The sequence below is a fragment of the Homo sapiens genome, chromosome 1 (assembly GCF_000001405.40).
Source record: "Homo sapiens chromosome 1, GRCh38.p14 Primary Assembly".
NCBI lineage: Eukaryota > Metazoa > Chordata > Mammalia > Primates > Hominidae > Homo > Homo sapiens.
The window spans coordinates 167711793-167733383 of NC_000001.11; the positions used below are offsets into that span (position 1 = coordinate 167711793).

At 45.4% G+C, this 21591-nt stretch overlaps 1 protein-coding gene and 2 non-coding genes across 6 annotated transcripts in view, besides 10 other annotated features; 2 read left to right on the plus strand and 1 right to left on the minus strand.

Annotated features, from left to right (window-relative positions):
* Window positions 1451–2289: an enhancer, noted in NCBI's record as "H3K27ac-H3K4me1 hESC enhancer chr1:167682480-167683318 (GRCh37/hg19 assembly coordinates)". NCBI's record gives its function as "activates a minimal SCP1, AML or CMV promoter by ChIP-STARR-seq in primed H9 embryonic stem cells {active_cell/tissue: H9 hESC(primed)}" and the evidence as "EXISTENCE:reporter gene assay evidence [ECO:0000049][PMID:30033119]".
* Window positions 1784–1943: an enhancer, noted in NCBI's record as "active region_2052". NCBI's record gives its function as "activates an Ori minimal core promoter by ATAC-STARR-seq in GM12878 lymphoblastoid cells {active_cell/tissue: GM12878}" and the evidence as "EXISTENCE:reporter gene assay evidence [ECO:0000049][PMID:35858748]".
* Window positions 2414–2653: a silencer, noted in NCBI's record as "silent region_1533". NCBI's record gives its function as "represses an Ori minimal core promoter by ATAC-STARR-seq in GM12878 lymphoblastoid cells {active_cell/tissue: GM12878}" and the evidence as "EXISTENCE:reporter gene assay evidence [ECO:0000049][PMID:35858748]".
* On the plus strand, window positions 2933–3004 carry TRP-CGG1-1 (tRNA-Pro (anticodon CGG) 1-1). Its single transcript has one exon. It is a non-coding gene; the product is annotated as a tRNA-Pro (tRNA).
* Window positions 2954–3053: a silencer, noted in NCBI's record as "silent region_1534". NCBI's record gives its function as "represses an Ori minimal core promoter by ATAC-STARR-seq in GM12878 lymphoblastoid cells {active_cell/tissue: GM12878}" and the evidence as "EXISTENCE:reporter gene assay evidence [ECO:0000049][PMID:35858748]".
* Window positions 3696–3767, minus strand: TRP-AGG2-1 (tRNA-Pro (anticodon AGG) 2-1). Its single transcript has one exon. It is a non-coding gene; the product is annotated as a tRNA-Pro (tRNA).
* Window positions 7792–8291: an enhancer, noted in NCBI's record as "H3K27ac hESC enhancer chr1:167688821-167689320 (GRCh37/hg19 assembly coordinates)". NCBI's record gives its function as "activates a minimal SCP1, AML or CMV promoter by ChIP-STARR-seq in naive H9 embryonic stem cells {active_cell/tissue: H9 hESC(naive)}" and the evidence as "EXISTENCE:reporter gene assay evidence [ECO:0000049][PMID:30033119]".
* Window positions 9830–10199: a silencer, noted in NCBI's record as "silent region_1535". NCBI's record gives its function as "represses an Ori minimal core promoter by ATAC-STARR-seq in GM12878 lymphoblastoid cells {active_cell/tissue: GM12878}" and the evidence as "EXISTENCE:reporter gene assay evidence [ECO:0000049][PMID:35858748]".
* MPZL1 (myelin protein zero like 1) overlaps window positions 10190–21591 on the plus strand; it is a 69938-nt gene continuing 58536 nt past the window's right edge. For 3 of the 4 annotated variants that reach the window (NM_003953.6, NM_024569.5, NM_001146191.2), the window contains exon 1: window positions 10190–10450. In NM_003953.6, coding sequence (NP_003944.1) covers window positions 10360–10450 — 91 coding nt within the window. In that variant the 5' untranslated portion in view covers window positions 10190–10359. Of the gene's footprint in view, window positions 10451–21364; window positions 21447–21591 lie in introns of all 4 variants that reach the window. The other variant, XM_047433610.1, reaches the window with a different exon arrangement.
* Window positions 10518–11018: an enhancer, noted in NCBI's record as "H3K27ac hESC enhancer chr1:167691547-167692047 (GRCh37/hg19 assembly coordinates)". NCBI's record gives its function as "activates a minimal SCP1, AML or CMV promoter by ChIP-STARR-seq in primed H9 embryonic stem cells {active_cell/tissue: H9 hESC(primed)}" and the evidence as "EXISTENCE:reporter gene assay evidence [ECO:0000049][PMID:30033119]".
* Window positions 10590–10659: a silencer, noted in NCBI's record as "silent region_1536". NCBI's record gives its function as "represses an Ori minimal core promoter by ATAC-STARR-seq in GM12878 lymphoblastoid cells {active_cell/tissue: GM12878}" and the evidence as "EXISTENCE:reporter gene assay evidence [ECO:0000049][PMID:35858748]".
* Window positions 10690–10829: a silencer, noted in NCBI's record as "silent region_1537". NCBI's record gives its function as "represses an Ori minimal core promoter by ATAC-STARR-seq in GM12878 lymphoblastoid cells {active_cell/tissue: GM12878}" and the evidence as "EXISTENCE:reporter gene assay evidence [ECO:0000049][PMID:35858748]".
* Window positions 16234–16733: an enhancer, noted in NCBI's record as "H3K4me1 hESC enhancer chr1:167697263-167697762 (GRCh37/hg19 assembly coordinates)". NCBI's record gives its function as "activates a minimal SCP1, AML or CMV promoter by ChIP-STARR-seq in naive H9 embryonic stem cells {active_cell/tissue: H9 hESC(naive)}" and the evidence as "EXISTENCE:reporter gene assay evidence [ECO:0000049][PMID:30033119]".

A 21591-nucleotide genomic window follows, 5' to 3' on the forward strand; every position in this document is an offset into this window, starting at 1 on the left:
AAATGAAATTAAAAGATCAAATCATGGGCTTTAAAGTTATCTGAGAGCCACTGTTCCTCTTCTTCCACGTTTCCATCTTACTTGTTAACCAGCCAAGCCAAGCTCCTTAGCACAGAATTGCATCAAGAGTTATAAAAGTGGCCAAGGATCAGTGTTTGTCTCTGTGACCAGGCCAACTCTGGGAGTGTGTCCTAAGGAAATAATCCAAAGTACATGGAAAGGGGCAGGGTGCAATGGCTCACGCCTGTAATCCCAGCACTTTGGAGGCCGAAGTGGACAGATCACTTGAGCCCAGGAGTTGGGAGACCAGCCTGGGCAACATAGTGAAACTCCATCTCTACAAAAAAATACAAAAATATTAGCCAGGTGTGGGTGAACTAGCTGGGTGTAGGTGGCACATGCCTGTCCCAGCTACCTGGGAGGCTGAGGTAGGAGGATCACTTGAGCCCAGGAGGTTGAGGCTGCAGTGAGCCATGATGGCACCACTGCACTCCAGCCTGAGTGACAGAGTGAGACCCTGTCTCAAAAAAAAAAAAAAAAAAAAGTATATACACAAAATTTCAACAAAATGTTTGACACCACTTACTTATACAGTGGAAGAATAATTAAGAAAAGGATGTGCCATTATCTTGATGGGATACTATGAAGCCATTACAAACTACTTAACGGAGTGGAAAAGCAGACTTGGGAACTTATTTTTATTTTTTATCCCTCTCCCCAGGCTTGGGAAATTAAAACAACAACGAACAAAAACAAACAAAAAACCCTTGAGAGTGTATACTCAGCAAAGATAGAAGTGTCCACCTCTATCATGTTCCACACACATGGTGAGTGGCAGGAATATGTCAAAGCTCCCAGGAGTGGGATACAGCTCAGGCAAGGCAGAGAGAGCCCCAGCGAAGGCACGCATACTCTCAAAGGGAAGGAGGGCGACGCTTAGCTGCTCAGGACTTGCCCTAATGAAAACTCTCTCCCCAACCTTCCCCACCCTTGACCCATCCTCAAACTACCAAACAGTGTGTTAAAAGCAATATCTAGCCGGGCGCGGTGGCTCAACCCAACACTTTGGGAGGCCGAGAAAGGCGGATCACCTGAGATCGGGAGTTCGAGACCAGCCTGACCAACATGGAGAAACCCGTCTCTACTAAAAATACAAAATTAGCCAGGCGTGGTGGTGCATGCCTGTAATCCCAGCTACTCGGGAGGCTGAGGCAGAAGAATCACTTCAACCTGGGAGGCAGAGGTTGCGGTGAGCCGAGATCGCGCCATTGCACTCCAGCCTGGGCAACAAGAGCGACACTTCGTCTCAAAATAAAAAAGAAAAGAAAAGAAATTAAACAATATCCAGTTCTCACACCTTAGGTAAGTAGGAGGAAGAAAAGTGGTCTCAGACAAGGACAGGGTGTCAATAGTTTTACGCACTTCCAAACAAATAGAAGGCGTAGACAGGGCTGCCCACCTTAGACCTGGCCCCTGCACCAGCCAGCGACAGGGCTCTCTACATCGCCAGAGTGGGCTAAAGAAAGGTTTTTCAGTGCTCGCTGTTTGTTCTGAGGTGTCTTCACTGCATTTCCCGTTACACTCCCCACCGGCATGAACCCTGGTCCTGACCTCCTATCGCTAAGTGTCGTCCCAAAAGCTCACTGACATTAAAAGGAAGAGAGGAAGAGAGAGAGAAAAGAGCAGAGAAGCGGGTGCACGTGGGAAGCTCTCGGTTAGCAGGTGACAGGGCAAAAGCACCACCAGGACCTGGAAGAACGTCTGACCAGGCTACAGAGCAATGGATTTCTCTTACGCTGAACTGAAAGTAGCCTAAGAATGCAAGAGTGTTTTAGAAATAAGGGACGTCTGCAACTTGGCCACAGACTGCAAGGAGCCGGAGTGCAGAGTGGCGGGCTGGGGTCGTGAAGTGGGGGGAAGCGGTGAGAGCAGTCCGGAAAGCAGGCAAGACGAGCTAGACCCCAGGCCGGGAAACCACACCGGCGGGAGACCCCGCACTCGGACTCCCGCTCCTCTGAGCAGAAGAGCAGTAGGGCAGGCCCACATTTTCTGCTGGACGGGAGGGAGAAGACCCGGCCCACTGCCACTGCCCTCTCTTCTCCAAGCTACCGAGGTACCAATCTTCTCCCCAACTCTCCAGTCCCTTTCACACGCCCCAGCCCCCAGTTGTCCCACCCTCCAGGACCTCGGGAGTTCCTAGACCAGCGCCACCGCCAGCTCCTAGCCCAGTGGATTTATGTGAGCGACTTAACATCTCTGAGCCTCAGTTTCCTCATCTGCAAATGGAGATACAATGGCACCTAGGGGATTATTACGAATATCAGGTGAGTTCAATACAAGCAAAGGGCTTAAAAGAGTGCACTATCCCCAAATGAAGGTTCGGGGAGTTAACTTAATATTCACTCCTATGGGATTTCGTCTCCCACCACCCCTTTCTTAGCCAGGATTCGGGTATTCCCTTCCCTCGCTCGGACTCCCCGTCTTCATTCACCGACCCACTCGCGGAGCGAGCAGGCCCAGCTCTGCGTGCACTGACGGGCTGGGCGCGGGCGGGGCGCCGCCGGGACTTGGCACCGGGCTGCGTCCTGAGGCGCCCTGCCCCGCCCCGCACTTTCCTCAGCCCGGGCTCCCGGGCGCCCGCCAACACTGCGAGTGGAACAGCCGGGGCGAGCCCGTAAGCCGGAAGGCGGCTTCCGGGAGCGCGTGCGAACGTGGAGGCCACGCCGGCGATGGGGGGTTGGAACGGCCGGACCAGGCAAAAGCCGGTCCCTCCCTGCTCCTCCACGCTGTGGGGCAGTAAGCGCTCCGGACCCGAGGCTTAGGGAATCAGAGGACACGCAGTATAAGGGTCGCAGGTCGTGGTTGCTCGGAACACGAGGTGAGAGGCGGAACAAGGCTGAAGGGAAGCTCTGGGAGTGCCCTTGCCGAGAGCGGCTCGTTGGTCTAGGGGTATGATTCTCGCTTCGGGTGCGAGAGGTCCCGGGTTCAAATCCCGGACGAGCCCAGGCTTTTACCCACCCCACACCCGAAATTTAAAAACAGATTTTTTCCCCCTAATTCCCCACATATTCCATTCAGAAACTTAAATGAAAACATACTGGTCCCATGAGCTCGAATGTTGATCCCCTTTGTTTTTTGAAGCGAGGGACCATGTGAGCTCAATTAATACAACATATGGTTACTGTACGCCCAAAGGCAACGCATTCAAATTGCTTTGTACCATGTAAAACACACACTCTTGAAAAACAGACGCCTAGTGCGGAATCCTGTGCACGCCTTTAACTCCTCCAAACGAGCAGGGGGCGTCATGGATTAGCATGTCCCGGGGTTCGGGAATCAGCATTTCCGAGGAAAGGGGCGCTCAGGAGATATCCCCACCCCCGATGAGGGGCACTGTCGTGGATGAGTTTAAACCACGCCATAGGCAGCCAAGAACTGAGCTCCCGATGGCCCTGTACACGCGCTGCACCCAGGAATAGACAGCTAGGGACAATGTTTTCATAGTACAATACTACATTACTAGCAAACTTTTTACATTTTCAAAATGAGGCCTTTTAATGGTATTTCAATGTAGAGTGTGCTCTAAGTTTCCAAAAATCTCAATTTTGTGTTTTACTCTGACCAACCTGTATTTATTACGTTTAGTAATCTATCCCCAAAAAAACTCACCTTTAAGTGATTCTTACTCCAAAACAGGGCTCGTCCGGGATTTGAACCCGGGACCTCTCGCACCCTAAGCGAGAATCATACCCCTAGACCAACGAGCCGACACAAACTCCACCTTACTGTCATCAGAAAGGAACACATAGCTATTTAGTCCTGCGCCCTCAAGTGGTTGCTCGCATGTTAGGATTCGATCTTTGGGTTGTGTTTGCTTTCTATAGATACCGCGTTTTCAATTTTCTTTCTTTTCTGTTTTGCTCTTTGAAAATCAGTAACACAGAAGACAGCAAAATTGTCACTATCAGTATAATATCGACCTCTTATTTCGAAAATTGTAATTGTATTTCTATTCATGGCTAATAAATGGCTATTAGTGTGGGACAATGTCACTGTGGCAGATTCCAGACTCTCTCCGTTACTGAGTGAGTTCTGGATGTTTCATTCGTTCTTTTTCGCACTTTTCTATAATGTTAAAATCTCGGTTTCTTGCCGATATTTTTTATTGTAATATTCAAAGCCCTACCTATCTAGCCTTGTGAATTCCCATCTCTGTTTTTACTCGAAGTGTTCTCTTCAGCTGGAAAACCTGTTTGCTTTTGGACAAATCCCAAACTCTAACCTTCCCAGAAAAAGATCCTTTAACATATCAAAACCAATAGTATGTGGTAAATAACTGGGTTTCAGTCTTATCTCCTCCAACTGTAACTTCTTAGAGCGCAAGACACCTACACCAACACGAAATTCTACTGTAGAATTGGCAACCAATTGTGTGATTGCTGTTCGATTGTCCCAATATCTTTAATTAGATATAGTAAGCATGGCTTCTTAACTATATTTTAAATTCTTTTTCCTTTCTTTCTTTTTTTTTTTTTTTTTTTGAGACGTTGTCTCGCTTCGCTCTTTCGCCAGGCTGGAGAGAAGTGGTGTGATCTCGGCTCACTGCAACCTCCGCCCCCTCCGCCCTCCAGGTTCAAGCGATTCTCCGCCTCCCGAGTAGCTGGGATTACAGGCACCTGCCACCATGCCCAGCTAATTTTTGTATTTTTAGTAGAGGCGGGTTTCACCATGTTGGCCAGGCTGGTCTCCAACTCCTGACCTCAGTTGATCCACCCTCCTCGGCCTCCCAAAGTACAAGCGTGAGCCACTGCGCCCGGCCTAATTTCTTTTTTTTTTTTTTTTTTTTTTTTTTTTTTTTTTGAGACAGAGTCTAGCTCTGTCACCCAGGCTGGAGTGCAGTGGCGCGATCTCGGCTCACTGCAAGCTCCGCCTCCTGGGTTCATGCCATTCTCCTGCCTCAGCCACCCCAGTAGCTGGGACTACAGGCGCCCGCCACCACGCCTGGCTAATTTTTTTTGTATTTTAATAGAGTCGGGGTTTCACCGTGTTAGCTAAGATGGTCTCGATCTCCTGACCTCGTGATCCACCTGCCTCGGCCTGCCAAAGTGCTGGGATTACCACCGTGCCTGGCCCTAAATTCTTAAATACTTAGCATTGAGGCTTATCATAAGGAAGCTGGTGCTCAATGAATGATTCTGAATGATTACAATTTGTCTCAAATTCCTTAACAATACGAATTTTAGGTGTTTTTTGTTTGATACAGGGTCTCACTCTGTCGCCCGGGCTGGAGTGCAGTGGCATGATCATGGCTCACTGCATTTTAGTACTTTTGTTGCCGGAAAAAGGGGTCTTCACCGAACCTGGAGAGAGGGTTCTTGGATCTCGTGCAGGAAAGAATTCAGGGTGAAAGAAGCAAGTTTATTGGAAACTACTCTGTTACAGAGCAGGATGTTCTCAGAAAGTAGGAGGAGAAACACCCCGTTCTTAAGTTTTTCTTATATAGTGATCTTACCTATGTAAAAGCTAGGCTAAGCTGTGCCTACATACGGGTGAGCAGACAACATGACAAATTTTGTTACTCTGTTGATTTAAAGAAGACAATTATTGACATTTTAGTGTGTGAATACGTAAAAGCATAACTGTGATTATCTTAAAGGCATATATTGTTGTAGATATTAGGACATTTGGACTTCTTGCTGTTGTAGGAGTCAGTCCTAGTTATCTTCAGGCTGTTTCCTTAATTATAAACATCCCATGACTATGGGTCGTGGCAGGCAAGGAATGTGCCTTGTTAGTCCTAAAATGGAGCTGAACTTAAAATGGCATTATTCTAGCTTTCCTAGGCTGCTGCTTCCCTAACACGTTGACAAACACATTGACAAACAGTAATTGTGAATTGTCATTCTAGCAAATAACCAACCAGATAGGAAACAAGTAGACAGAGTGACTATCTTAAATAGACCTATTCATTAATTTTATTTCATATGTCATACATTCATCGGTTTATTCATTCATTCATTCATTGCTCATTCTTTTTTATTTTTTTCCGAGACGGAAGTCTTGCTCTGTCACCCAGGCTGGAGTGCAGTGGCGCAATCTCAGCTCACTGCAACCTCCGCCTCCCGGGTTCAAGCAATTTTCCCGCCTCAGCCTCCCAAGTAGCTGGATTACAAACGGTGGGCACCAAATGTATTTTTAGTAGAGATGGGGGTTTCGCCATGTTAGCCAGGCTGTTCTCGAACTCCCGACCTTGTGATCCGCCGGCCTTGGCCTCCCAAAGTGCTGGGATTACAGGCGTGAGCCACGGCGCCCAGCCTACTCATTCTTCAACAAACATTTAACAACAAGTACTATGTGACCGACTCCGAACTGTCCACTTTCTTCCTATGGTTTGACAACAGAAAATTATAGAAAATCTAGCGCTGTCTTTACCCTTGTTTTATTTAAAACTGCCCTAACTTGAGTCTTCAGTTCTTCTTAGGGCTCCAGGAAAGGAGGGAGGATAAGAATACCTTGTACAATGTTAATAAGTTCTAGATTGCCAGATAGTGTATTCATCAAAATCTAACTGGAAAAAAATATGCCCTGGACACCTAAGAAGTTTATACTGCTTTTCTCCTTAAAATGAGGAAGCTGTAGAATATAACTGGTTAGAGAAAATAATATAACCACTTCAGATATCTGAAAGCCTCAGTCTCAAGAAGTCTCCCTGCTCTCTCTCTTTTCCCTTTTGAATTTACTATAGCTATTATCATTTTAGATTTTTCCCCCCAACTTCTTCTATCTAATCATTAAAAAGGAACTTGTCTTTTACTCGGCAGGCCAAATACTTGAGTATCTCATTTGACTGTCATAACAATGATGCAGAAAGACTGACAATAACAAAACTCAGAATATTGATTGCTTCATTGACAGTGGGAAATATCCCTATTTGGTAGGAGGAATGCCTGCGCTATCTGTCCAGGCACATGCTTCCCTAGAATTAGGTCCTTGGGAAGCAGATGTAGTACACAGATGGTTGCAGGGCCCAGGAAAACAGTGTATCTTGAGGAAAATTTTATCCCAGCTACAGTGAATTTAGAAGTCTGACAGCACAGCCTTCTCCTGTAAGAATTAACACCTCCCTAAGGACCCTTTTACCCTCGTTCCCCCAATTTGGTGTCTCTGTGCCAAGGGGAAGGAGACACTAGAACTCTAATTTTCCAATTTTCAAAAATTTCTAGCAGCAATGCTTCTGGATTAAGACATTCTTTGTGAAACTGATTTGGCTTCAGGCGAATCTTTCTCAAGGTGGCCTGGGATTCCTCTTTGAATCTATCTGATTTGTTATCTGCGAGGAGTCAAATTCTCAGGGTTCCTGGGACACCACCCACATTCCAATTTTCCTCTGGCAACAGATCTTGAAGACAAAGACAGACAGGCTAGAAATTGGGACTCTTTTTCTCTTGATTATACTTCTCATCCAATTTATACCCAGTCCTGTAATTCTTTTCGTGAAATGTCTCTCAAATCCTGTCTTCTCATCCCCACTATCAATACCTTATTTCCTGCTCTCTTCATTCTTGCCCTGCTGCAGTGGTTACCTTTTTAAAACACAGATCCGAACTTCTTACACCCCTTTCACCACTCTCCACTGCCTCCAGAAAAAACACAACTCAAGGCTCTTCAAAATATGACCGCAGCCTCCTTTCCTGGCATTCTCTCTTCCCCTCTTTCCCTCACTCCCCTCAAGTTGCAAACCACAAAGGATTCACCTAATGTTTCTCACACTTGGTAGGTGATTTCTTTTCTCTGAATGTGCTTTTCCTGTTTTCTCCGTTCTCTGAGTTTGCTTTTCCTGTTTTCTCTCTGGTGAATTATTCATCTTTTAAAGTTCACCTTAAATGTTTTATCCTTGGTGAATCTTTCTAGATGCTTCTTGGGCCAGTGGATTTTAGGAGAGCGAGGTATATGTGGCTGAGGTACATCACAATCAGCAGAGAAGCTTTAAACACTGCTGAGAGTCACTGTCCCTGCTGGCCTTGGGTTTCTTCTTTATTCACTCTTCCTTTTTTTGAGACGGAGTCTCGCCCTGTCGCCCAGGCTGGAGTGCAATGGCGCGTGATCTCGTCTCACTGCAACCTCTGCCTCCCAGGTTCTGTAGCAGGATGAGCCGCAGACAAAACTCCTCAGACACGGAGTTAAAGAAGGAAGGGGTTTATTCGGCCGGAAGTATCGGCAAGCCTCCTGTCTCAAGAGCCTAGCTCCCCGAGTGAGCAATTCCTGTCCCTTTTAAGGGCTCACAACTCTAAGGGGGTCCGCGTGAGAGGGTCATGATCAATTGAGCAAGCAGAGGGTACTGTGAATGGGGGCTGCATGCACCGGTAATCAGAACGAAACAGAACAGGACAGGGATTTTTACAATGCCTTTCCATATAATGTCTGGAATCCATAGATAACATAACCGGTTAGGTCAGGGGTCGATCTTTAACTACCGGGCTTAGGTCAGGCAGGCCCAGGCCTGGTTTCGGGTCTGGTTCTTAGGCGCCGGGTTACCTGCCTTTAATTTCGCTTCTCTTTCCTTTTCTGAGTATAAAACTATATGAGAGGTTCTGTCTCTCTTCTCTCAGTTCAAGCGATTCTCCTGCCTCAGCCACCCGAGTAGCTGGGTACAGTCACGCGCCACCCATGCCCGGCTAATTTTTTTGTATCTTTTAGTAGAGATGGGGTTTCACTACGCTGGCCAGGCTGGTCTCAAACTCCTGACCTCGTGATCTGCCCGCCTCGGCCTCCCGAAGTGCTGGGATTACAAGTGTGAGCCACCGCACCCGGCCCTCATTTTTACAAATGTAATTGAGTACTTGTTTGTGTACACTAGTAGACGATGTGCTTCTTGAGAGTAAAGCCCAGGTGTTCTACATCCATGGTTCAATTAATGCATTGGTATCTTTTCCAACCTATGGCATTTGAGATACAACTTCAAAAGGATCTGCTGACAGAAATAGGGCAAAGTGGTTCTGGTATTTTTTTTTTTTAAGTTTTTTTCTCACTAATGTTCTTATGATTTCGCTGTACTGCAATGTTAGCTGAAACAGCACAGATATCAGGAATGGCATTGTTAAGACTGACCTTAGACAAAAACCCTGAAGTGAGAGGTTACATTTTGGGTTCTCACCATACTCTTCCCCCGCTCTTGTCCTAATTGTCTAAAGCTTGCTTCCCTTCCTCATCGTATCAGCCTCCCACCTGAATCTTCCCTTTTCCTCCTTCACACTCATCTTTCTTGTGCCCCTGTCCCCCATTTTTCCCTTTTGTAAGCCATTTTCATAAGGATCCTTCCAAATATTTCCCCTATTGATTGGACAACCCGTAGGTGGCAGACTGTTCTGGGCCAAGGCAACCAAGTTGAGCAGGGCCAGCAATCAGTGTCGGGAACTTCTGCAGGGCACTTCAGAATCAGTGTTGGGAACTTCTGCTTTCTATTTTTCACGGACACAGACAGGAACACAGATATGCGAAAGCAAAACAATCAAAAAGCATTTTCATTTGTTTTTCAGGTAGTAGGAAAGAGTTCCAGATTCCCATCCTTCTGAAGCCAGGAGGGAGGTTCCTAAGAGGAGGTTAGGGCAAGATGGAGACTTCTTTTTAAACTAGTAGATTTCGCAAATTGCAACACATACATTATCTAGTCCACGCAAAGGACAGGCCTTGGGGACACGGCACGGGGAACGTGTTCCACCTGGACGACTGAATCAGAAGTCTCTCCCCCATCAATTGAACGCCTCATTATTTTTCTTTCTGTCTTTTCTTTCTTTTTAAGGTAAATGAATTGCTTCTTTTTCGTTAGGTGAGGCCGGCAGAGAACAAGAAGAGCTGAAACGGAGGCGAGGTTAGTACCCAGCAAAGACCTGTGGCGAGGAGAGACAATGAAGAGGACCACGGGACTGGACCCTGAGAAAGGCAGAGGAGACGCTGGCTGGTGGGGCCCGCAGGCGGACAGCCACGCAGGCAGGCGGAAGGCTCGGCTCGGCCTGGGACCGCTGCAGACCCGGCCTCCGCGCGGGGCCGAGGCGCCTGGGTGGGACCGAGGAGGCGGGGCCTTCCCGGCGGACGGATGATGGACAGCCTGACTCTCCAATCGCGTCCTTAAAAGGGTGCGGGCAGGCCAATGAGCGGACAGCGAGGGCCGGAGTGGGGCTGAGGCTTCGGTGCAGAGCTGGAGAGCCGCGGCTGGGACCGGAGTGGGGAGCGCGGCGTGGAGGTGCCACCCGGCGCGGGTGGCGGAGAGATCAGAAGCCTCTTCCCCAAGCCGAGCCAACCTCAGCGGGGACCCGGGCTCAGGGACGCGGCGGCGGCGGCGGCGACTGCAGTGGCTGGACGATGGCAGCGTCCGCCGGAGCCGGGGCGGTGATTGCAGCCCCAGACAGCCGGCGCTGGCTGTGGTCGGTGCTGGCGGCGGCGCTTGGGCTCTGTAAGTGATGCCAGGACCAGGGCTGGGGCCGGGGAGTGGGGCCCCCGGGCCCGACACACGCCCATCGCGGCGGTCGCAGGCCAGGCGCGCGCACTGAGAGCCGAGGTGGGGAGGGGGCGCGGCCTGCGCTCTCTGGGGCCGAGGGGACCCAGCCCATGGGGAACGCGGGCCTCCGCGACTGGCCGGGAAGGCGCAGAGCCTCTTTCTTCTCTTTCCTGGATCCTGGAGTGCGGAGGAGGAGGGGAGAGTGCTTTACCTTGCTCCTTCCCGGGGGGCGGTCCAGGGGAGCGGACCCGGCGGGCGGCTGCGGTGAGCCCTCGCGGCGCACCCTGCCCTCTCCTCGTGGTGACTCTGGATCGTCTAGGCCCTCCCGGATTCTGACTCAGGAACTAGGGTTCTGGCGTTCTTCACCTTTGGGAGGTGGCGGAAAGTTGCAGGTTTTTCATTTGTAGGGCCTTTGTTGATTTGTTTCCTGTTAAGCCAGGGTTTTGTTGTAAGTTCCCTTTCCCATGCTCTCATTCAGTTTTAAGTCTCCGTAATAAAAGAGTCTCATTTCCGTGGTCTGCAAAACGCCAATAAAAAAATATTGTTACTTCTAGGTTAGAATGCAAAGAGCTTGGAATACCAGTGAGATGGCCTGGCTTAAAAGAATTTGGTCAAATCCATCATAATTCCAGACGTAGCCACCATAATTTGACAAGACATAGAGCATTAAAAAGCATAATTTTCCTAAAGGAAAAAAAAAGCTCCTTTTTCTTACCAAATATTGTGACTCAAGCTTAAGGTAAACCTCGGGCTCAATTTATGGGAATTGGATGACTTGTTTTATGGACATCTGAAGTGGTATCTGCCACAGGACTTTTCTGTGTTGTTGTTCAAAGCAAAGTACTTGTTGCTGTCTCCGAATTTAGTTAAATAATAGTTATAAAGAGGGCCAGCTGCTAAGAAACCACGTAGATTTTTTTCATTCCCTTTGTTTTCAAAATGTCAGTTATGATTTAGCATCACAGTATCTGAATACCAGAGTTTACTCAGTAATTTCTTTCTTCATGGAAAAGTTCTTAATATAATCCTTGGATCAGGGAAACTAGGTGAAGTTCTGTTGGATCACCAACTGTTCCACTTAAACAGTGATTCCAGGGGCTGTAAAGCATAAATGTAAAAGTCTCCCTACCCTCCAGGGGTTGACAGATGATGACACACTTTGTGTAAGACACAATCCATTCTGTATTTTGTCTTAGAAAAAAAGGTTAAAAGTGTGTTTGTTGGTGGTGGTATTTGTGTTTAATCAAACAAGTAGAAAATAGCCTAAAATTAAGGTTTATCAGAAATATGCTTCAGACAGAATTGTTATGCATGAGAGGTCAGACATTGCTATGGAGGACAAAGCAGTTAGGGTGATCTTAATTAAAATCAGGGTATTAAACGTAGAAGGAGTGCAAAACTACATAGTAGTGAAAAGATCACTAGAGTAATAGCCCCATACAACTTGGACGTAACTCTTCAGTAATGAAGATGAATGTTGATATGTAAAAATCAGCAGCTGATGTTATTGGTTCAACTTAGAAAATTATTGAATCTAAAATTCTTGCCAAATCACCTCTTTTCTGGTCATGGATACTGCACATAAGAGTTTATCTTTTACAGGATAGCTTCTAAAGTTTTATCAAGACAGTTACTCAGCAAACATTCACTGAGCACCTTTTAAGTGCTTAACACTTAAAAGGTGGGAGGTTAGGTCTCACTGTGTTGCCCAGGCTGCTCTGGAACTGAAACTCCTGGGCTCCAGTGATTCCTCTGCCTTTTCCTCGCAAGCAGCTGGGGCTACAGGTGTGTGCCACTGTGTAGGGTCAGAAGCACATTGGTAAAGATGTACTGTGGGAGCTTGAAGGAGGGTCATTATCTCAGACTGTAGTTCAGGCTACTGGAGGAAGGGAGTTTAAACTGGGTAGGCATGGGGGAGGGGCAGAAGTACATACAGAGTTATGAATGAACCTGTTGGTAGTTCAGTATAGTGGGAGGTTGGAGTGTATATAAGGGGAATGGTGGGAGTTGAGGCAGGAGAGCCTGCCAAGGGCACCAGCTTACAAAGGGCCTTGTCTGCCACACTTAATCCAATGAGGATTTCTCTGTCTATTGAGATGTGAAGGATGGGTTAGAGTGGGGTGAGGCTGAAGCCAGAGAAGGCAGAGGACTATTGTAATAATCCCGGGGAGGATGATGAAGATCTGAATTCAAGCATTGGGCTATGAAGAGAGGACACATGTTGATGCGCCACTTAGAAAGTACGTTTGATAGAGCTTGGAAACATTGATGCAGGCTTGAAAGAGGAGGTGGATAAAATGATCATAGGTTTTGGGCTTGGGAAGCTGGGCATATTTTTGGCCTTTTCACAGATGGGGAAATAGGAGTCTTGGGGGAAGAAGATGATGGAGATACTTTTGAATATGTTGAGTTTGAGATGCGGGTAAGACATCCAAATGGAGATGGGCAGAAAACAATTGGATAGACAGTTCTGGAGGTGAGGAGAAAGTTCTGGTTGGAAATGGAGATTTAGAGAGTTATGTGGCTAATAGTTAAAGCTTGGATTGTTTGGATGAGGGCATCCAGGGAAAATGCACTGAAGAACATAGCAGAGAGCCAAAGACGGAGTTTTGGGGTATATGAAACCTGACAAAGAGTCTCTGTGAGTAAGAGAAAAACCAGGTGAGTTTGGTATTTCAGCATTGTCAGATGAAGAGAGATAAAATGTGATAAGAATTCACTGAATTTGGTAATTGAAATGAGCACATAGTATATGAGGACTAAATCTCAGTAATTTGTACCATCCATGTCAGTAAATGGAACCTCCATACATCTAATTGTGCAGGCCAGAAACCTAGGGTCCATCCCTGATTCTTCCCTGTCCTTCACATCCAATCAGTTCTCCCATCTTTAAAATGCATCTGGAATTGATGTTTTTTCTACCTCCACTCCTAGCCTTTTAGTCAAAGTCACCACCATTTCTTGCCTATATTACTGTGATAGCCTCCCAGCTGCTCTTCCTCTTTTTCCCCCTCTGGAGTCTTGCTCTGTCTCGCCCAGGCTGGAATGCAGTGGCACAATCTCGGCTTACTGCAACCTCCATCTCCCAGATTCAAGTGATTCTTCTTGTGCCTCAGCATCCCAAGTAGCTGGGACTACAGGCATGCACCACCATGCCTGGCTAATTTTTGATTTTTCTATTTATTTTTAAATTTATTTTATTTATTTATTTTTTGGGGGATGGAGTCTCGCACTGTTGCCCAGGCTGGAGTGCAGTAGCGTGATCTCGGCTCACCACAACCTCCACCTCCCTGGTTCAAGCGATTCTCCTGCCTTAGCCTCCCGAGTAGCTGGGACTACAGGCGCATGCCACCATGCCCAGCTAATTTTTGTATTTTTTAGTAGAAACTGGGTTTCACTATGTTGGCCAGGCTGGTCTCGAACTCCTGACCTGGTGATCCACCCGCCTTGGCCTCCCAAAGTGCTGGGATTACAGGCGTGAGCCACCACATCTGGCTGATTTTTTTATTTTTAGTAGAGACAGGGTTTCACCATGTTTGCCAGGTCTGGAACTCCTGACCTCAAGTGACCGGCCTGCCTCAGCCTCCCAAAGTGCTGGGATTACAGGCATGAGCCACCACGCCCAGTACTCATCTTGGTTCGTTTTAATCCATTCTTCACAAAACTGCAAGAATGATTTTGTTAAAATGCAAATCAGATCATGTTGCCTTCTTTTTTAAAATCCTTAATGGCTTCCCATTGCACTTGGAATGAAATCTAAACTTCCCATGGCCTGAAAAGCTCTTTGTGATCTGGTTTCTGCTTACCTCTATGACCTCAACTTGTACCACCCACCACCCCTTTCTCACTATATTCAAGCCACACTGCCATCTTTCTGCTCTGTGACACTCATTCCCACCTCCTAGCCTTTGAACTAGCTGTTCTGATGTTGCCCAGGGCTGGCTCCTTTCCATCACAGAGGCTCTAAGTTTCACATCTTTAGAGAGGCCTCTCTGACCACCTTATTCTAGGGTACTTACCTGTTACTATTTGCTGGTTTGCCGTTTACTTCCTTATTGTAATTTCTATATGGTTTTTCTTCTCTTTTTTTTCCTCCATCAGAATCTGGGACAGACAAATCATCTGTCTTGTTTATAGAAGTATTCCTAGTGCTTAACACAGTGGATATGGTAGATGCTAAAAATATTTGTTAAATGGCAGTGAGGCATAGGCATGTCTTGACAACAGTTTGTTAGGAGTTTGCAATATGTAGTTATGATTTAGCATGGTATAGTAGGTCCTCAATATGTGTTTATGCAAGAAGAATATTTTTCCAAAGTGTGATTTCATGCACTGCTTATTTCTCATTATCAGTTCCCTTGGCCTTTTACTTATTTACTAGTCAGGATAGTAAAATAGAAACTTAGTCTTATAAAATATGTATATTTTTTACTCCAACTCCAGGATATCCACTAGGCTTAGATGCTGCCAAAAGAAAAAGATAAATGTTAAGTGAAAGACAGCTATGTGCAAAAGAACATAAAATGCAAGTTTGTGTTTTCATTAAGTCTAATTTATTTACTTATTCAACGTAAATGAACACCTACTGGGCACAAGGCACTGTTTATGTATGGGATGCAGCAGGGAGCCTAGATGCTAGTGAGAAGTGACAGACAGGAAACATCTACTCAAATAAATAATACCAAAGGACAGATTAAATTCCCAACAATCACAACTTTTAAGAAAATATGATTGATCTAATATGAAAATTTGCAGCAAATTTTTGAAAAATGGAACATCTTATTTGTATTATAAAATATTTTTAAAACTTATAAGGGATATGTTATAGGGTTTCTTTAAAGATTGGTCTTTCCCACTGAGTTTTAAAAACATGATTTAATTGGGAAAAACATAGCTTTTCAGAAATATTGCTGTTTCCCCTCTATCCAGTAGATGCTGGTCTACCTACTAAATATTTCTCACCATCCACTTTGCATCCACACTGGAGCTAATATAGTACAGCCACAGTCATGTCTCTACTGGATGATTAGAGCCTTCTAACTGGAGCCTGACTGTTTTTGAGTTATATCTTTTATCTGAGAATTTGAATTATTTGTGTAAGACATACATCTCATGTGTACCTCAACCTTGGAAAGATTTTTAATCTTGCTCTCTAAGACCACAGATGTCATTTTAAAAGGGAGAGTAAAATGGTAAGCTTTGGCATATAATTTATTATAGATTAGTCTTTAGCCCCATCGAAGACGGTATAATTATTAGAAGAACTAGAAGCATCTCCTGAGGTCTCAAGTGTCATATGGCTCTGAGACTTGACCCCTAAGGCTGGTGATATTAAGCCTTCATGTATCTTGAATGATATTCCTTTTTTCCTTTTCCACTCTTACTTTGCTAAGTCGTTTGACATTAGCAGTGCCCTAGAGTCCAGACAAAAGTCTTTGGAATTTTTGCTGCCGTAAGAAAGCAGAGGTCAGTTGGCTCCGTTCACCATAGTGCATAAATTGAGAAATTGTGGTTGTCTCCTGGGATCTTTATATCTTTGCCTTTAAACCCCTTTGTTTATTCATTATCTTTTTTCTTTCTTTTCCTTTTTTTTTTTTTTGAGACAGAGTCTCGTTTTGTCGCCCAGGCTGGAATGCAGTGGTGCAACCTCGGCTCACAGCAACCTCTGTCTCCCAGGTTCAGTGATTCTCCTGCCTCAGCCTCCCAAGTAACTGGGATTACAGGCATAAGCCACCACGCCCAACTAATTTTTTTTTTTTTTTTTTTTCTGAGGCAGAGTTTCACTCCTGTTGCCCAGGCTGGAGTGCAGTCGCGCCATCTCGGCTCATTGCAGCCTCTTCCTCCCACGTTCAAGCGATTCTTCTGCCTCAGCCTGCCGAGTAGCTGGGATTACAGGTGCCTGCCACCACGCCTGGCTAATTTTTTTGTATTTTTAGTAGTGATGGAATTTTGCCATGTCGGGCAGGCTGGTCTCCAACTCCTGACCTCAGGTGATCCACCCAAAGTGCTGGGATTACAGGCGTGAGCCACCGTGCCCTGCCCAAATTTTTTTTCTTTTTTTTCTTTCTTTCTTTCTTTTTTTTTTTTTTTTTGTATTTTTAGTAGAGATGGGGTTTCACCATATTGGCCAGGCTGGTCTCGAACTCCTGACCTCAGGTGATCCACCCGCCTCGGCCTCCCAAAATGCTAGGATTATAGGCATGAGCCACCGTGCCCAACCTATTCATTGTCTTTTTCAATGCATGTGGCTACTGTAATTTTTTATTCACTTAACAATTTTTTCTTGATCCCATTAGGCCTTTATCCAAGATGATTTCATTGATAAATCCTCCTTCAGTAGGTTTCTTCTTCTAAACTCAGAGTCTCTAGAAACTGTGATACCTTATGATACCTCTGATCTTATTGTTAGAACATAGAGCTTGAGTAATTTTGTAGCAACAGTGATACACTGAATCCAGTACTTAGGTTTAATTGATTGGAGTTAGAAATGCAGTATGTCTTTGCCTATCCTGTGTATTGCAGATAAGATTGCCCCATAGAATGAAATCTATGACTTAAGTTTTGTTAGGAGCATGCTGCAACCAACTGAACAGACCTTGATGAACTTGCAATGAACATTTTTTCATACTGGGACCCTGATATTCTACTTTAGGATCTGGGGAGTTTATTACGTGCATTTTAAAAGATGCTGTTATCGGCCGGGCATGGTGACTCATGCCTGTAATCCCAGCACTTTGAGAGGCTGAGGCGGGTGGATTGCCTGAGCTAAGGAGTACAAGACCAGCCTGGACAACATGATAAAACCCCCATCTTTACTGAAAATAAAAAAAAAATTAGCTGGGGGTGGTGGCGCACACCTATAATCCCAGCCACTTGGGAGGCTGAGGCATGAGAATCGCTTGAGCCTGGGAGGCAGAGGTTGCAGTGAGCTGAGATCGTGTCATCGCACTCCAGCCTGGGTGATAGAGTGAGACACCCTGTCTCAAAAGAAAAAAAAAAAAAGATGCTGTTATTAAAATTAAGAAATGTGTTCTTTTCTCTCCAAACATTAAGTTTACAATGTGGAGTTATATACATTTAACATAATCATGTGCTTCTTCCAGATAACACTTGGTAAACTTGAAAAGATGAAAAGTTATAAGGTGTTATATTGTCAGCTTAGCTTCAATGAGAACCTAGTGACCCTGTGGCCAGACAGTGTCTAATAGTTATTCTCTAGTCAAGTCCAGGTTATCATTGCTATATACTTTCTTCCAAAGGGTGTTGCTGAGAATTAGGAAGCATAGATAGAGGACTCAGGTTCCTAAGAGAAATGTGGTAAAATGCAAATATTTGAAATCTCCTAGATGTCTGAAAAGAGAAGAGAAAGAGAGTGAGTGAGCAGTTAGGGAGATGTTTTAACTTCTCCCTCTCCCTTTTCTGTTTCTTAGCCCTTAGAAGTTAGGGCATAGAACTAGGTTCATGTTATATCTTCTGCTCTGCTCTCATTTATTGAGTGCTTACTATGTGCCACGCCTTTGCTAAACGATTTACTTATATACTCCTCACAGCTCTGTGCAATAATTATTTTTATTAATTTTATAGATAAGAAGAGTAAGTTTCAGAGAGATTGTGTAACTTAAGGGTCTTAAGATCACACAGCTAATACATGGTAGAGTTGAGACTCAATTTCCAAAGCACATGTTTGCAACCACCCTGCTGTATTATAGAATTTTTTCTTCAAAGTCTCTAAACATTTTGGGGAAGATTCTGGAATGTCTTAAGTGTTTACAGAGTGGCTTTTTAGCTGTCCTGGGGCATCCAGATTTCTTCTTTGGGGTGATGTTTGTGCCAAGATCCCTCATGCCTTGATGCTGCTGACTCTGTTAAAGAGGAATAAAGCTGCCGTGTTGAAGCCATCCTCACCAATCATGCAGAATCTGTTTGTGCCACCCAATACTCTAAATGCTCCTCAGGGATTTTTAATGATGTTCTTTTTTTTTTCTTTTTCTTTCTTTCTTTTCTTTTTTGAGGCAGAGTCTCTTGATATGGCCCAGGCTGGAGTGCAGTGGCACGATCTCCACTCAGCGCAGTCTCCACCTCCCTGGTTCAAGTGATTCTCCCACCTCAGCCTTCCTAATAGCTGGGATTACAGGTGCCTGCCACCACACCTGGCTAATTTTTGTGTTTTTAGTAGAGACAGGGTTTCACCATGTTGGCCAGGCTGGTCTTGAACTCCTGACTTCAGGTGATCCGCCTGCCACAGCCTCCCAAAGAGTTGGGATTACAGGTATGAGCCACCATGTCAGCTGATGTGGTTCTTGTAGGTTCTTCTCACTCATACCTCTCCCGCTATCAAGAGCACAAGCATGAATCCATTATACTGAGTGATACCATACTGGGCTCAGAATGGTTCCTTGCCCCTCATTACACATTACATGTGGAAGAAGCCACTAAGCCTTGACTTTCTTCCTTTGAGATGAGTTCTTCTCTGGAGGCTGTGCAGGTCCTTTTGCCATTAGACTCCTGGCATGCTTGCCTTACAGAATGTCCAAACAGGCCCAGGCATCCAAACCAAAGTCTCCTCCCTTGTACCTCTTCTTGGCTCCTCTGCCCCATTGACAGAGGTTCTGTAGCCATGTTGTCTGCCACAAGTTGGAGGTCTAGCACTTGTCTGTTAACTCTTGGGAACTTTGAGTCTTGATCATTTTCAGCTATTAGGAATTTAATTCTTTTTTTTTCTTCAGTGACTGCAAATTTAGAAGAACTGCAGTGAGGCTTGCTGAACCTTGCACACTAATGAAATTGGTGAATGGATTAATAATGAACAGAGGTGATGCTAATTTGTAATCAGGTTGAATAATATGGATTTAAGACCAGAAAATGGGCCGGGTGCCGTGGCTCGCGCCTGTAATCCCAGCACTTTGGGAGGCTGAGGTGGACGGATCATTTGAGGTCAGGAGTTTGAAGCCAGCCTGGCCAACATGATGAAACCCCATCTCTACTAATAATGGAAAAAATTAGTTGGATATGGTGGCACACACCTGTTATCCCAGCTATTCGGGAAGGCTGAGGCACGAGAATCGCTTGAACCTGGGGGACAGAGGTTGCAGTAAGCCGAGATTGTGCTACTGCACTTTTGCCTGGGCGACAGAGTAAAACTGTGTCTTTTTTTTTTTTTTTTTTTTGAGACGGAGTCTTGCTCTGTCGCCCAGGCTGGAGTGCAGTGGCGCGATCTCGGCTCACTGCAAGCTTTGCTTCCCAGGTTCATGCCATTCTCCTGCCTCAGCCTCCAAAGTAGCTGGGACTACAGGCAGCCGCCACCACACCCGGCTAATTTTTTGTATTTTTTCAGTAGAGACGGTGTTTCACCATGTTAGCCAGGATGGTCTCGATTTCCTGACCTCGTGATTCCCTCGCCTTGGCCTCCCAAACTGCTGGGATTACAGGCGTGAGCCACCGCACCCAGCCTAAAACTGTGTCTCAAAAAAAAAAAAGGGGGATCAGAAAATGCTAAGGAGGCAGGAGGATCACTTGAGGCCAGGAGTTCAAGACTGGCTGGGGCAAAATAGCAAGACCCCATCTCTACAAAGTAAAAATAAACCAAAAAACAAGTTATAGGTCCACAGTTTTTTTATCTGTAACTGCAAAGCCACAAATACTTTGAAAATTAAGTTTTTTCCTAAGTTTGATACAAATTCTTTGGCTGCAAAATTCAACCTGAAGTAGTAAGATACTGTTTACAACTGTGATCCTATTTGGTATGACTAATTGTATTTTTCACCGCAGAGATATTAATGTGTTTGATTGTGGGATGCTGCCCTGTACTCTCTAGGGACTACTACATAATATATAGTATAGGTATTGTATTAATTTTTTAAAATCTGAAAAATTCTATATTCTGAAATACACCTGGCCTTAAGACTTTTCGATTAGCTTGTTGGCTTGTACAATATCTTATCTCAGAAATTTCCTTCTACTCTTGTAAGTACTAAGAACTACAAAATATTGCCTGGGCAACATGGCAAAACTGCATCTTTGGGAAGATTGCTTAGGAGTGGAGGCTGAAGTAAGCCATGTTTATGCCACTGCACTCCAGCCTGGACAACAGAGGGAGACCCTGTCCCAAAAACAAAAACAAACAAAAAAAATACAAAATACAGTTTAGTTATTTATTTTTTCATTTTTAGAAATGTGGTCTCACTATGATGATCAGGCTGGAGTGCAGTGGCTGGCAATTCACAAGTATGGTCAAAGTTCCCTGTAGCCTCAAACTTTTGGGCTCAGGTGATCCTCCTGTCTCAGTCTCCAAGTACCTGGGACTACAGGTGTGTGCCACCAAACCCCAGCTCTTTTTAGTTCTTTTTTTGAGATGAGTCTAGCTCTGTTGCCCAGGTTAGAGTGCAATGGTGCGACCTCAGCTCATCACAACCTCTGCTTCCTGGGTTCAAGCAATTCTCTTGCCACAGCCTCCTGAGTAGCTGGGATTACAGGCATGCACTGCCATACCTGGCTAATTTTTGTAGAGATGGGGTTTCGCCATGTTGACCAGGCTGGTCTCGAGCTCCTGACCTCAGGTGACCCGCCTGCCTTGGCCTCCCAAAGTCATTTTAGTTCTTTAAATGTTTTGGTCCACAAAGCTAGTGTGCTTTCCACTTAAGAGCTTTCATTGAAACTCCTTTAGAAATTTATGCTACTTTGGACTCAGCCTGTCTTTTATTCAAGGAATTCTAAATCTGTGAACTGGCACACGTTTGGGAATTGATTGAAGGGTCCTGACTTTCTGTTTTTATGATTCACATTAGACTTTTTGTTCACTTGACCTAGAACTTTTCTGTTTATATAGATCAAGTAAGAATTTAGTAGGTTTCCTATCTATTTCACTTGTAGGAATACCGTGACCAGCTGATCAATGCCATAGATCTGTGAGAGTCAGACTTCCAGCTGTGCCTTGACTCTGCTGTCCATCATGGTAATCATGCCTACCTTGCTTTTAGCAGTTCAGTGCTGCCATTTGGCCCCTGTCATCCCATGATCCAATTATTCCCACTGCATTTACGTGTCCCAATTTAGTGACAGCAGTTCCCACTGTAAGTTCTAGGCTATAGATAAGAGTG